The sequence below is a fragment of the Homo sapiens genome, chromosome 2 (assembly GCF_000001405.40).
Source record: "Homo sapiens chromosome 2, GRCh38.p14 Primary Assembly".
NCBI lineage: Eukaryota > Metazoa > Chordata > Mammalia > Primates > Hominidae > Homo > Homo sapiens.
In genome coordinates, this window is record NC_000002.12 from 239176110 (window position 1) to 239188705 (window position 12596).

Consider the following 12596-nt stretch of genomic DNA (forward strand, 5'->3'; position numbering starts at 1 on the left):
CCCAGTGCCCTCCTGCACTCACTCCTTCTGCCCCTCACCTTCCGGAGTCCATGCCCCCACTCCCTCCCTCTGCCCGGCCTCCCTCCCTCTGCCCGGCCTTCTGCGCCCGCACTCCCTCCCTCTGCCCAGCCTTCCGTGCCCGCACCCCTCCCTCTGCCCGGCCTCCCTCCCTCTGCCCGGCCTCCCTCCCTCTGCCCGGCCTTCTGCGCCCGCACTCCCTCCCTCTGCCCAGCCTTCCGTGCCCGCACCCCTCCCTCTGCCCGGCCTCCCTCCCTCTGCCTGGCCTTCCGTGCCCACACTCACTCTCTTTGCCCTTCTCCTTGTTCTTGAGCTGCTGCAGCTTCTGCTCCCGGTGCTGCTTCTCCAGCTCCTGCTCCTGGCGGTGCCTCTCCAGCTTCCGCTGGTGTTCCAGCAGCTCCTGCTGGTGCTTCATGGCCAGCATCTCCTGTTGTTGCTGCAAGTGGAAGGAGGAGACAGACGGTCAGAGCCCAGGCTCCACACACACACAGAGACCCAATGAAGACCCAAGAAACCAGCCCAGGCCCTACACGTCTGCCCTGGTGTGGCCCTGGGCACTGCCCTGCCCTGCACTGCTGCTATTTCAGTCCAAAAAAAGAAGTCAGGGCCATTCCGGGCTCTGGGCATTGTCTTACCTTCGAAGTGGAAAACATTAAAAACAAAAGCCATTGGCTTGCTAGAAGAAAATACGCAAGAAGAGTTATGTTATCTTGCAAGTTGGAAATGCTATTTTGAGAACGACACAAAGACAGTGAAGAGAGCGTGAAATGGTACAACCACTTCAGAAAACTGCTGGGCACTTCCTTATAAAGTTAAATGCACATCTGCCCCGAGACCCAGCAATCCCATTCCTAGCTATTTATCCGAAACACGGAAGCACACCCACAAAAAGCCTGTACAAGAATGTGCATGGGAGCTCTGGTCACAGACCAGCCTTGATGCAACCCACATGTTCCCTCGAAGGTGGACACTTGGAGAAATGATGTGTGTTCATCAAAGAGAATACCACCTAACCATAAAAAACAACAACCTACGTGTACACAAGAAAACACAGGTGAACTGCTAAACAGCAGGTGTTGGCAGAGGGTGAAAGAGCAGAGAGAAGAGGCAAGACTGAAAGACCCTCCGCTGAGCCTCTGCACTTGCAGCTCCAGATCCGCACATTCCACCACAGCCTGGTGTGGAAATACGGGTGGTTGGCCCTCAGTGTCTCCAGGCTCTGATCCTCCGCTGGCTCAATCAGTGGAGGTGAAACCCAAAAATATGGAGGGCTGACTATATTCACATGAAGCCCTAAAACAGAAAAAACTAACGCACAAGGATGAAAATCAGAAGAAGGCTGCCTCTGCGGGGGTGAGGTAGGGTTGGGGGTGCCGAGGCCGGAGGAAACGCCCCAGCGGGTGGAGTGTCCGACCTGTTGACTGTCTACAGGGAAGGGCACAGCCACCCAACAGCACCCTTAAGGGCTGGCATTCTACCGAGTATAAATTATATCTCATATTTCAAAAACTGACGTCGACATAAAATGTTTGTCTTAATAACAAAAGGCAGAAGGTAAAAGAAAAACTGCAGTATTTATGACATACAAATTTTATATAAATGGTTGTTATCCATTAATGAGAACATGACAGGCAGCCCACTAAAACGTTGGGCAGAAAAGAACAAGATGCACAGAAGAACTGTTTAAAAAGAAATCGGGATAAATGTTCAAGCTCACTAGTGAACACTTCCCATTTCACTCACGGTATCGGAAAAGGTGAAAAGGAACAATTTGGCCTGGCGCTGACGAGTGTGGGAAGGTGCAACTGACCAGACGCCCTGAGAGGGACTCCCGCAAACCCAGAGCACCTCTGTCCTGGGACCCAACCCAGGCTCCAGGGCTCCCGCACGTCCTTCCGCTCCTCTGAGATGGCTCCGCTCTCGTTCGCATGCTCCAGGGTTCTGTCTGCACACACTTTCCTCGGCTTCCACACAAACCCCTGGGCCAGCCCGGGGGAAGTGCCAGGCCTCCACAGGTGTGAGGAGCTCTGCCACCTGCCTGCCTGGGAGAGCCTCTCTGCCACCCTCTGTGGCCGCACGTGTCCCGGTCATGGTCTGTCTGCTGTCCCCAGTGATTGTTCCGTTACCAGTTGTCTCTTGTCCCAGTGTCTTGTTTATTTTAGACATAGGGTCTCGCTCTGTTGCCCAGGCTGGAGTGCAGTGGCGCAATCATAGCTCACTGTAAGCTTGAGCTCCTGGGCTCAAGTGATCCTCCTACCTCAGACTCCCAAATAGATGGCAGTTAATTAAAAAAACAAAATTGTAGAGAAGGGGTCTTGCTATGTTGCCCAGGCTGGTCTCGAACTCCTGGGCTCAAGCCATTCTCCCACCTCAGCCTCCTGAGTAGCTGGGACTACAGGTGCACACCACTGCACCCAGATACGTTTTCTTCTTTTTTGATGAAACAAGATCTTGCTCTGTTGCTGGGGCTGGTCTCAAACCCCTGGGCTCACGTGATCCTCCCGCCTTAGCTTCCTAAAGCTCTGGGATTACGAGCGTGAGCTGCCTCACCCGGCCACTGGTGGGTTGCTTTTTGTTGGTCTTGCTCCCCTTATGGAGGAAGAGGGGACGGTGAGAGGGTACGGGATAAGCAGGCATCCTGGCAACCAGAGTGGCCCGAGGAACTTTCTGTGGAGGAAATTTAGTGAATCAGGGGCTCCGGGCTGGCTCCAGAGTGGGGCTTCCACCAGCTGGTGATTCTTCCTGGAGGATGAGGCTCAGGCCAGGGAAAGGATGAGCAAAGCATAGAGTGGGGTGTGTGTGCGAGGCAGCCACCGGATGCCCGAGGCATAGAGTGGGGAGTGCGTGCGAGGCAGCCACCAGACGCCCGAGGCATAGAGTGGGGTGTGTGTGCGAGGCAGCCACCGGACGCCTGAGGCATAGAGTGGGGTGTGCGTGCGAGGCAGCCACCGGACGCCCGAGGCATAGAGTGGGGAGTGCGTGCGAGGCAGCCACCGGACGCCTGAGGCATAGAGTGGGGTGTGCGTGCGAGGCAGCCACTGGATGCCTGTGCTCCATGAGTGGCTGCGCTGGCACAGCAGGACTGGCGCCCATGGGATGCCACCCACGTCACACTGTCGTCCCTGTGTATTCTTCAATCCCTCTACGACAGGGGTCCCCACCTCCGGCCGTGGACGGGTAGCAGCAGTCCCTGGCCTGTTAGGAAATGGGCCACAAAGCAGGAGGTAAGTGGCAGGCTAGGGAGCATTCCCGCCAGAGCTCAAGCTCCTGCTGGATCAGTGGTGGCATTAGATTCTCACAGGAGTGTGATCCTGTTGTGAACTGTGCGTGTGGGGGATTTAGGATGCATGGTCCTTATGAGAATCTAACGCCTGATGATCTGAGGTGGTGGAAGTTTCATCCCGAAACCATTCTCCTGCGTCCCCCACCCCTGTCCACAGAAAAAACCATCTTCCACGAAACCGGTCCCTGGTGCCAAAAAGGTCGGGACCGATTGCCGCTCTACAACAAATGCGCATCACTTCAGAGCAAGAGGTGATAACAAAGGAAAATGAAAAGTGGCTGAGGGGTAGGAAAGCAGATGAAAAGGATTACATCGGACGGGCAGAGGCAACCCCGACAGAGTAGGGCCAGCAGGGATGGGGGGCTGGGTCCCTGAGGTGCCACAGCCTGAGAGCCCACGCGGCGTGCTCAGGGTGGGAGGCGGCACAAGCCTTCTGCTACAGGGCTCGCTGCTCCAAGACAACAGGGCTGCCCGCACGGAGGAACCTGCACATCAACGTGCTTGTGCACCCAAGTGTGCGTTCTGAATGTGAGTGAGCGCGTGGGATTGAGCATGTGTGCTCCAGGTAACTGTGAGCGTGCAAGGGCGCTGCCCTTCTCTGTGGGCGCCAACCTTCAGCGGCGTTGGCAAGGTGACGGGGGCAGGCGGTGTGTGTCCGGGAACATCTCCTGCATCTTGCTGGGTCCTTCTTCACATGAGAGGCCCGAGCCGACTGGCAAGCTTCACACCCTTGCTGCCCCTGCACAGCCAGCTTCCAGGTGGCCACCACACCCTCTCCTGCGAGAGCCTGGAGGTCCAGCTCAGCCCCCGGGCACCCAGCACACACACCTTTCCAACCCCTAGGCTTCTGGGAAGATCCAGCCTGCAAAAACAGCCTGGCCCAAGCCCTTTCATGGTCACAGGCGGTGCAGGGGATGAGGAATGGCCTCACCAGGGCATCAATCCCGTTCCTGGACCTCGCTTCCCACTGCTGAGGACTCAGCCGGTTTCCACGACCACCCAGAACCACTTGTAAATAGGGAAGAAAGGATTTCAGCTTGCTCACAGCCTCTTCCTACTCAAGATGAGACATGCCAGTCACCCCGCATGTCTGTGACCTGTGTGAAATTTGAATCACATTGTGTCCACGATGTTAAACGTAACATCAACTGTGTAATTTTGTAAGGTAAAACTCCTCATTCTTCCATTCTGTAAGTAAAGCCCCCAGCCCAGACAAGGGACAGAGACAGGCATTGGCCAACCAAATGGCATTCGGCAACCTCAAACTGGCGCTGGCAGTGAACAAGCAAAATGAACATGATTGCCCCTCATGAGTGCCCCATGTGGATGGAAGGGTGTGCTGGGCCGCTGCCCCCCATGGCCCACCCCGAGGAAGAGTCCCCAGGCAGAAACCGCCTGCCCCATTGCAGTGACCCCAGCAGATAGCTCTGGACTGAGGCTGCCCCAGCCTCCAGGACGGAGACCACAGCGCTGGTCTTTCCCGGCCCACCTGGGCTGGGTCATTGCAGCCTGCAGCCCACAGCCAGCCTCCCCGTCCACTGTCCCATGGCAGCGGAAGTGGCCTGGATGGCAGAGCCCCACAGGAATCGCTTGGAGTCCAGGGCAGTGGGACCTCGGGCTCTAGGCAGGTCTGCCCAGTCACACCTGTGGTCACACACAGCAAGGATTTACAGCAGCAGAGAGAGCAGATCAGCATCCAGACATTGGGGACAGGACCTGCCGGCTCTCCTCACAGATGAAAAGCCCTGTCCACAAACACGCCCACCCACCTACAGCCCTCACAAGGGGGGTGGGACTCAATTCCAGCCAGGAGCACGGGGATAGAAGAGCTGCAGAGGTGGCAGGAGGTAGGCCCACACCCAAGGAAGGAGGGAGGAGAGGAGGGGCTGAGGCAAGACCCTACCCAGGCAGGTGCAATGCAGGCTTGCCTTCCAGCAGGGGTGCTGCTCCTGGCAGATGTGTGGGCACAGGCAAGGCAGGAGGCCTGGGTGGGCCGAGGGAGAGGGGGCACCCACCACGCCCGGCAGCAGCGTGTGCGCAGGAGGGGCAGGGAGGGCCGTCAGGGCTAGCTGCACACACCAAGCATCTCACCTGTATCTTTCCCATGGCAAAAACTTAATTCCGAACAACCAACTTAAATGAACTTCTTGGGGATGGTGGGATAAACATAAGCAAGCTCTTGCCGTGTCCTTCATCAGGGCAGCGCTGGCCTCCGAAGACTCACAGGCGGCCCATAGCACGCTGGCTGGAGGGCAGTGCCCAGGCCAGGCTGCCTGGCTGATAAAACCTGCTCCACCCACCTGCTTGCTGCCAGCGCACTTGCACCTAAATATTTAACCTCTCCGTGCTGGGTTAAATGTGGCACCTGCCCCCAAGGGTTCCTGTGAGGACTGGAAGAGGTGGCATGGGGAGAACACTCAGAAGAGCTGGTCTGGGCTTGCCTCCGTGCGGCCTGATTGTCATCAAACCGTCACTTTTGAAAGATGTCGCCTAGAGACGCCGACTTCCTGCAGACACTAAATATCCTAAGGTAAAATCAGGCCCCCTCAAGGCTAGGGAGATACTACCTGGAGCACACCTTCCTAACGCGGTGTTCCTTGCCGCCACATGCAAGCAAAGTCCCTCTACCAGGACAAACATCTGGGCATGTACAGATTCAGGACTCTGCCCTGGGGACCCGGAGCTGTGTACACAGGGAAAGGTGCCCCGAGAGCATCCCTGGGCCACACTGTCTGCAGATTGGGAATGCCACCAGCAGGTTAACCTATAAACATACAACCCACAGGGCTTCGGGGTGCTTCTCAGCTCAGAAAACAAACACAGTCCTTTGTTGAACTGATCTCCTCGTCATGGCGAGCCCCTCCCCTCTGGCTGTCACCTGCACAGGGCCCCTTGGCTCCCTCCCTCCCGCTGCTCAGAGCTCACTCAGGGCGGAAACGCAGAGCGGACAGATGCAGCCTAATGCAGTCTCACAGTATCTACTTGTCAGCCAGAACCCAGAGGGAAAGTGAGCTCTTTCCACCATCATTTCAAAAAGAATGAAAGCAACAACCATGGCTGCTGGGGATTAAAATTCACAGGAAGGCAAAACTCCCAGAAACATGACTGTGGTGGAGTTTTAATGAAACCAGCAGTCACAAACAGTGACTGATTCCCTACCTGCCCCCGGCAACGCTGTGTGATCTCGGCTTCGCTACTTGTAGGGAGGCATTCCACCTTATTAGATTTATAACAGATTATCTGTAGAGCAAAGCCTGCAAAGTGAAAGCCATCAGGACAAACTGGATTTCAACACTCCCTGTTCATAGCACAAGCTGAGACGTCAGGCCTGTTTCTTGATCTTCAAAGAAGACACAGGGACCCTCTGCCCTCGGCATGCTCGGAAAATGCTGGAACCACAAGGGAAGATGGCCATTTCACTCTTCTTCACTCCTGCCCCACATCCTAGCATCGTGAATAGGTACTTATTCTCCATGGGAACCCTCAGTTGGCTTCTGGAGGGCAGGTGCGTCACTGGAATACCAAATTCAGGCTTCGAAAAACAGGACTTTGAGATGCGCTTATTTTTAAGTTAGCTAAAATTGTCTGCAACTAGTCCCTCGCTAACTTTACACGTCAGACTACTCCATGGGGCAAGGGCTGTTGGGAAGCAATTTTTTGCAGACTGAAACTATAATGAGCAATTTAAAATAAGATGACTACGACCTCATTCTTCTAAGAAAAGCAAAAACAAAACCAATCATAGCTGATCCTATTACTCTAACCAGACTTTAAGTTTACGTTAAGCGTACACTGAACTCTGAACCAAATATAGGAGCCCCAGAATTTAGCTGCTTTGACTCTGACTTCAGAATTTAATATACAAATATTCAAGTGGTAACCCAAAAAGATTTTCACTTTTAAAACGAAACTCTTGACTTTCTTGTGTCTCTTTTTCAACTTGCCAGGGGAACAGCCCCAGAGTGGGCAGATGCCGCGCCCGCATAAAGCGGCAGGGGCCAGGAGGAAAGGGCGGCAGAATGGACGCCACGGACGGTAAGCTGCCGCCCATGGATGGGAACACCAGGTGCAGACCAGCTGGGGTAGGGCCACGGCATCCATGGCTCTCCAGGTGTGTGCCCACGTGCCCTATGTGTCACCTGGCCCCACTGCCCACTGCCACGTGCATGTGCCTCTGCCTAGCTTGGGAGGCAGCTCATGCTAAGCAAAGGTGTGCACGAGGTCTTCCCGTCTATTCTTAACCTTCACCCAGAGGCACCACAGAGGGACTCTGCTCCAAACCAAGAGTGTGCTCCTGCCCCCTGCCTCCCCACCGCACCCCTGTCCTGGCGCAGAGCCCTGGATCAGGCATTCGGCACAGCTCAGGTGAGCTCTAATGCTCACTGACAGCTGCCTCAGGTGACCAGAAAGCTGGGCCTGGGCAACATCTCTTCACCTTCCTCGGCCAGGTATTAAAGAGAATAAGGATCATGACCCACGCTCCCAGTGCCAGAAAACTAGGTTCCTTTCCGTGTTAGTTCCTCCCTGAAAGGAAGAGTCACACTATCAACTAAACAGCTCTGAAAACTCTCTCCTATCCACTGTGCTCTCCATAGCACAAGTCACATGGACACACACACACACACAAGCACACGAAAAAGAGGCCAGCCTTGCTAGTGTAAAAAAAAAAAAAAAAAAAAAAAAAAAGACATGCCACTAAAACAGTGTGTAAATGATTTTTACTCTTCATGCATTCGACTGGGAATAGGCTGAAGTTAGGGAAGAAAAGGCACGCCTTACACCAGTGCAGGGAGAGAGGGTAAGCCTTGCAGGAGGGCGATGTGCAACCTACATACAAAAGGTGCCCTGTACCTGCCCTGGAGGCTGTGCCCTATGGGGGGGTCCCTAAGTGTCTGTCCTGGAGGATGTGTCCTATGGTGGTGGGGGGGTCCCTCAGTGTCTGTCTTGGAGGCTGTGCCCTATGAGGGGGGGTCCCCCAGTGTCTGTCCTGGAGGCTGTGCCCTATGGGGGGGTCCCTCAGTGTCTGTCCTGGAGGCTGTGCCCTATGAGGGGGGGTCCCTCAGTGTCTGTCCTGGAGGCTGTGCCCTATGGGGGGGGGTCCCCCAGTGTCTGTCCTGGAGGCTGTGCCCTATGGGGTGGTCCCTCAGTGTCTGTCCTGGAGGCTGTGCCCTATCGGGGGGGGTCCCTCAGTGTCTGTCCTGGAGGCTGTGCCCTATGATGGGGGGTCCCTCAGTGTCTGTCCTGGAGGTTGTACCCTATGGGGGAGGTCCCTCAGTGTCTGTCCCGGAGGATGTGTCCTATGGGGGGGTCCCTCAGTGTCTGTCCTGGAGACTGTGTCCTATGGTGGGGGGTCCCTCAGTGTCTGCCCTGGAGGATGTGTCCTATGGGGGGGTCCCTCAGTGTCTGTCCTGGAGACTGTGTCCTATGGTGGGGGGTCCCTCAGTGTCTGCCCTGGAGGATGTATCCTATGGGGGGGTCCCTCAGTGTCTGTCCTGGAGACTGTGTCCTATGGTGGGGGGTCCCTCAGTGTCTGCCCTGGAGGATGTGTCCTATGGGGGGGGTCCCTTGGTGTCTATCATGGAGGGCTATCCCTCAGTGTCTGCCCTGGAGGGCTGTGCCCTATGGGGGGGGTCCCTCAGTGCCTGCCCTGGAGGCTGTGCCCTATGGGTGGGTCCCTCGGTGACTACCCTGGAGGCTGTGCCCTATGGGTGGGTCCCTCGGTGACTACCCTGGAGGCTGTGCCCTATGGGAGGAGTGCCCAGTGTCTTCTGGGGAGAGGTGCACCCCATGGGGTGCCTGTATCCCCCATGGGGGTTGCCCTGTATCTCCTGGGAAGAGTTGTGCCCTATAGGGGTGCCTCGGTGTCTTCTGGGGAGAGGAATGCCCTAAAGGGGGTGCCCTGTATCTCCTGGGGAGAGGTCTGCCCTATGAAGGGTGCCCCGTGTCTCGTGGGGAGACATGTGCCCTGCAGGGGGTGCCCCACGCCTCCTGGGGAGAGGTGTACCCTAACTGCTGGGGAAAGGTGTGCCCTGTGGGGGTGTCCCGTGCCTCCTGGGGAGAGATGCACCCTGCAGGGGGTGCCCCGTGTTTCCTAGGGAGAGGTGCACAGTGTGGGGGGTGCCCTGTGCCTCCTGGGGAGAGATGCACCCTGAGGTGGGTGCCGGGGCCCAGTCTTGTGCTTGGGGTCTCCCACATGCCCCTGCTCCATCACTCACCAGCCTGGAGCATGCTCTAGCCATGGCTTCGTGGCCTGTCCTTGGACCCTCTCTGGGTATCCATGTTTGTGTCCTGCCTCTCCATATTCTTCTGGGAGGCATTGATCAGAAATGCAAGAGAGAGGCCGGGCGCAGTGGCTCACGCCTGTAAACCTGACACTTTGGGAGGCTGATACAGGCAGATCACTTAAGGCCAGGAGTTCGAGCCTAGCCTGGCCAACATGGGAAAAACCCATCTCTACCAAAAATACAAAAATTAGCAGCAGGGTGTGGTGGTGCATGCTGGTAATCCCAGCCACTCAGGTGGCTGAGGCATGAGCATCGCTTGAACCTGGGAGGCGAAGATTGAAGTGAACTGAGATGGCACCAATGCACTCCAGCCTGTGCAACAGTTGAGCGAGACTGCCTCAAAAAACAAACAAACAAAAACACAGAAGTGCAAGAGAGAACTTCCACGCTTACCTGGGATCCGCTTCTTGGTGGAAAAGCACCATCCGAGAAGGAGAGGCAAGGCTGTGTCTAAACCACCACAAACAGCCAGGAAACCGGAAAGTCCAAGGGGACCACGAGCATTAAAATTCTCCTAAAAGATCCTATTTACCCAACATTAATAATTTAAGTTATATTTTAAAAATGACTCCCTTTTCAATTATAAAACTCTATTCAAATTCACTGATGATTTAATGACACTAATTAGATTTTGTGTTCAAGAAATCTGTCTGACAAACACTATTGCCAAATGTCACTAACAAACAATATGATGGCTTATAAAGAGAGTTTAAATCATCCAAACAAAAGCCTCCTAATGTAATGAAACCACTATGTAGTTCAAATGGCTTTTATAATCTCTATTTTAATGAAGAAATAAATGATTAAAATGCAAAGAGAAAGGCAACCTTGAACTTCTTTCTGTGCTTTTGAGACCCTGGCCCAGAGACTGGCTCCAGAGCCATGGTTCTAAGGTCTCTGGCCATCTCTCAGAGGGTGATGGGGTGGGCTTTCCCAGGGACCCCTCCAGGAATGAGGAGCATGGCCTGAAGGCCTGGCCTGTAGGAGCGACGTGAGGACTGGGGTCGGGGTGCTCTCTTCCAAGCAGTGAAGCCAGCTCCTGGGGCACCAGAAGAGGAGAGGCAGAGGGGTTCTGGAGGTGAGACCTGGCCTCACCCTGAGATGGCAGCACTGACCCCAACTCAAGTGTCTTCTTTATGTCTTCTGGCCTCCTAGGACTACCTTGAGGAGCCCCAGTCAAACACACGGGGCTTAGGCTTACTTCTCAGCTTCTCATCTACGTCGTCTTCTTGTAAAAGCTACAAATTCAACCAGCACGGAATGAGACATCAGCAATCCCATCTCTTTAACCTCGCTCTGCACCGACAGCCATGGCGGCTTCGGGGTGGGGTCCTAATCATGCACTGTGAATGCTCCAGGTGGATCAACGGCAAGGACTGCAGGGCTCACCAGGGTGCAGTGACAACAGGAAAAATGGAATTCAGCAGGAGCCCCTGAGGCCATCCTCAGCCAGCATCTGTGTTGGCCTGCAGGAAGGCAGGGAAGCCGGAGTGAGTGAGTGGTCCTCATGTCCCCGAGGCAGGCGGGACCAATGGCCGACGGGGGCTTCTGAGAGGCACAGGGCAGTGCCTGGGTCAAGACTGCTGTCAGGGAGTCCTCGGGCTTGATGTGGGGTTGCCAACATGCAGAATACGAAGGAGCTACGGTACTCATTTTAAAAAATTACTTCTAGGAGTCATAGAATGTGAGCCTATGGCGCAAAAACTAAATAAAACGAGTGGCCTCTTGAGGGCTGCTCTTCGCAGATCATGGAAAGGCTGGTGAGCTGAAGCCCTGGGCAGGCTGCAGGGATTGCCTGCAGTGACTCCCCCGGACCCGCGCCTTCTGCCTGGCATGCACCTGTTTCCTGCAGCCAGCTTGAAAACTCTTCTCCCAGGCCAGAAAAACAGAGGCCAGCTGCAGTTGCCCATGGTCAGGGCCGTGAGGGAGGCAAGACTGGCCTGTCCACTGCACCGAGTGGTGCCATCAGTAAAGTGAAGACTGTGTCCTCTCTCATGTCCCACCTGCCAGGAGTGTCAGGATCACAGGGATCCCAAAGGGTATGGTGCTTGTGGAGCTCTCAACTGCCCCACCCTAAACTCGAGTGTGCTTGTTAAAGTGGACAGGGTGCCAGTGGAGGCTGGTGGGCCAATCTCCACAGGGACAAGTGACGTGTTTGTTACACACGGCTGCTAGGTCGCTCTGAAATCTGAAGGCAAAAACGATAAAGCATGGACTTCAAGAGCTCAGGAAAGTGTCCTCTCCTTGGTTTGTCAAACACTGACATTAGCAGGCCCATGCATCTGGGAAAAAGCAGCAGCAACAACTCCCAAGCCAACAAATGCCAAGGCAACGGTGCCAAGTCCAAAGACCCAGAGCCCGCAAGCAGCCCCTCAGGGTCCAGCCAGAAACCTCCCAGCCCCCGTTCCCTCAAGGCCAGAGGGGGCCGAGTACAGAGCTCTCCGGGCTCACCTTTGAAGCACAGGCACTCACAGAATGGTTTGGCACCCATGAGAGGGGACATGGAGCTGTCCCTGAGCCTGTCCTCCAGGGCCAGCCCAGCTTTGGGATGCAGCCTCCCCCACAATCTGCCACTAAGTCTACAGACAACTGATACTACTTTACCTCCATTTCTCGACAGTGATTATGAAATAAAGACACTGAACAAAGTGTCTTACATATAAAGGAAGGGAAACTGGGATCCTGTGGTCAAGAGAATTATCAGCTAGGGCAGAAACAGAGGGATGCACCCCTAAGCTACTCTGCACACTAGGTGGGCACACTAATATCTGTGTGTGGGCTAATGCCAGGTAGCCAAGACCTCAGGTGAACAACTTCTACCCATGGACCACGTGAGCATCTCAGAAGCACCAGGTTGCATACGGTCATAGGCTTTTGATGCCCTACATCTGTGCTGTCCAACAGTTGCCACGAACCACGTGTGGCTCGAAATGCGGCTGGCCTGAATGGAGACATGCCCTACGTGCGACCCAGTGGCTTGCCAAGACTTAGCATGAACAACAACAGCAGCA

At 55.2% G+C, this 12596-nt stretch overlaps 1 protein-coding gene across 46 annotated transcripts in view; it reads right to left on the reverse strand.

Moving 5' to 3' along the window:
* The window catches only part of HDAC4 (histone deacetylase 4), a 353482-nt gene that overhangs the window by 127942 nt on the left and 212944 nt on the right, over positions 1–12596 (reverse strand). For all 46 annotated transcript variants that reach the window (XM_047446489.1, XM_047446486.1, XM_047446483.1 and 43 more), the window contains one exon: positions 304–454. In XM_047446489.1, coding sequence (XP_047302445.1) covers positions 304–454 — 151 coding nt within the window. The remainder of the gene's footprint in view (positions 1–303; positions 455–12596) is intronic.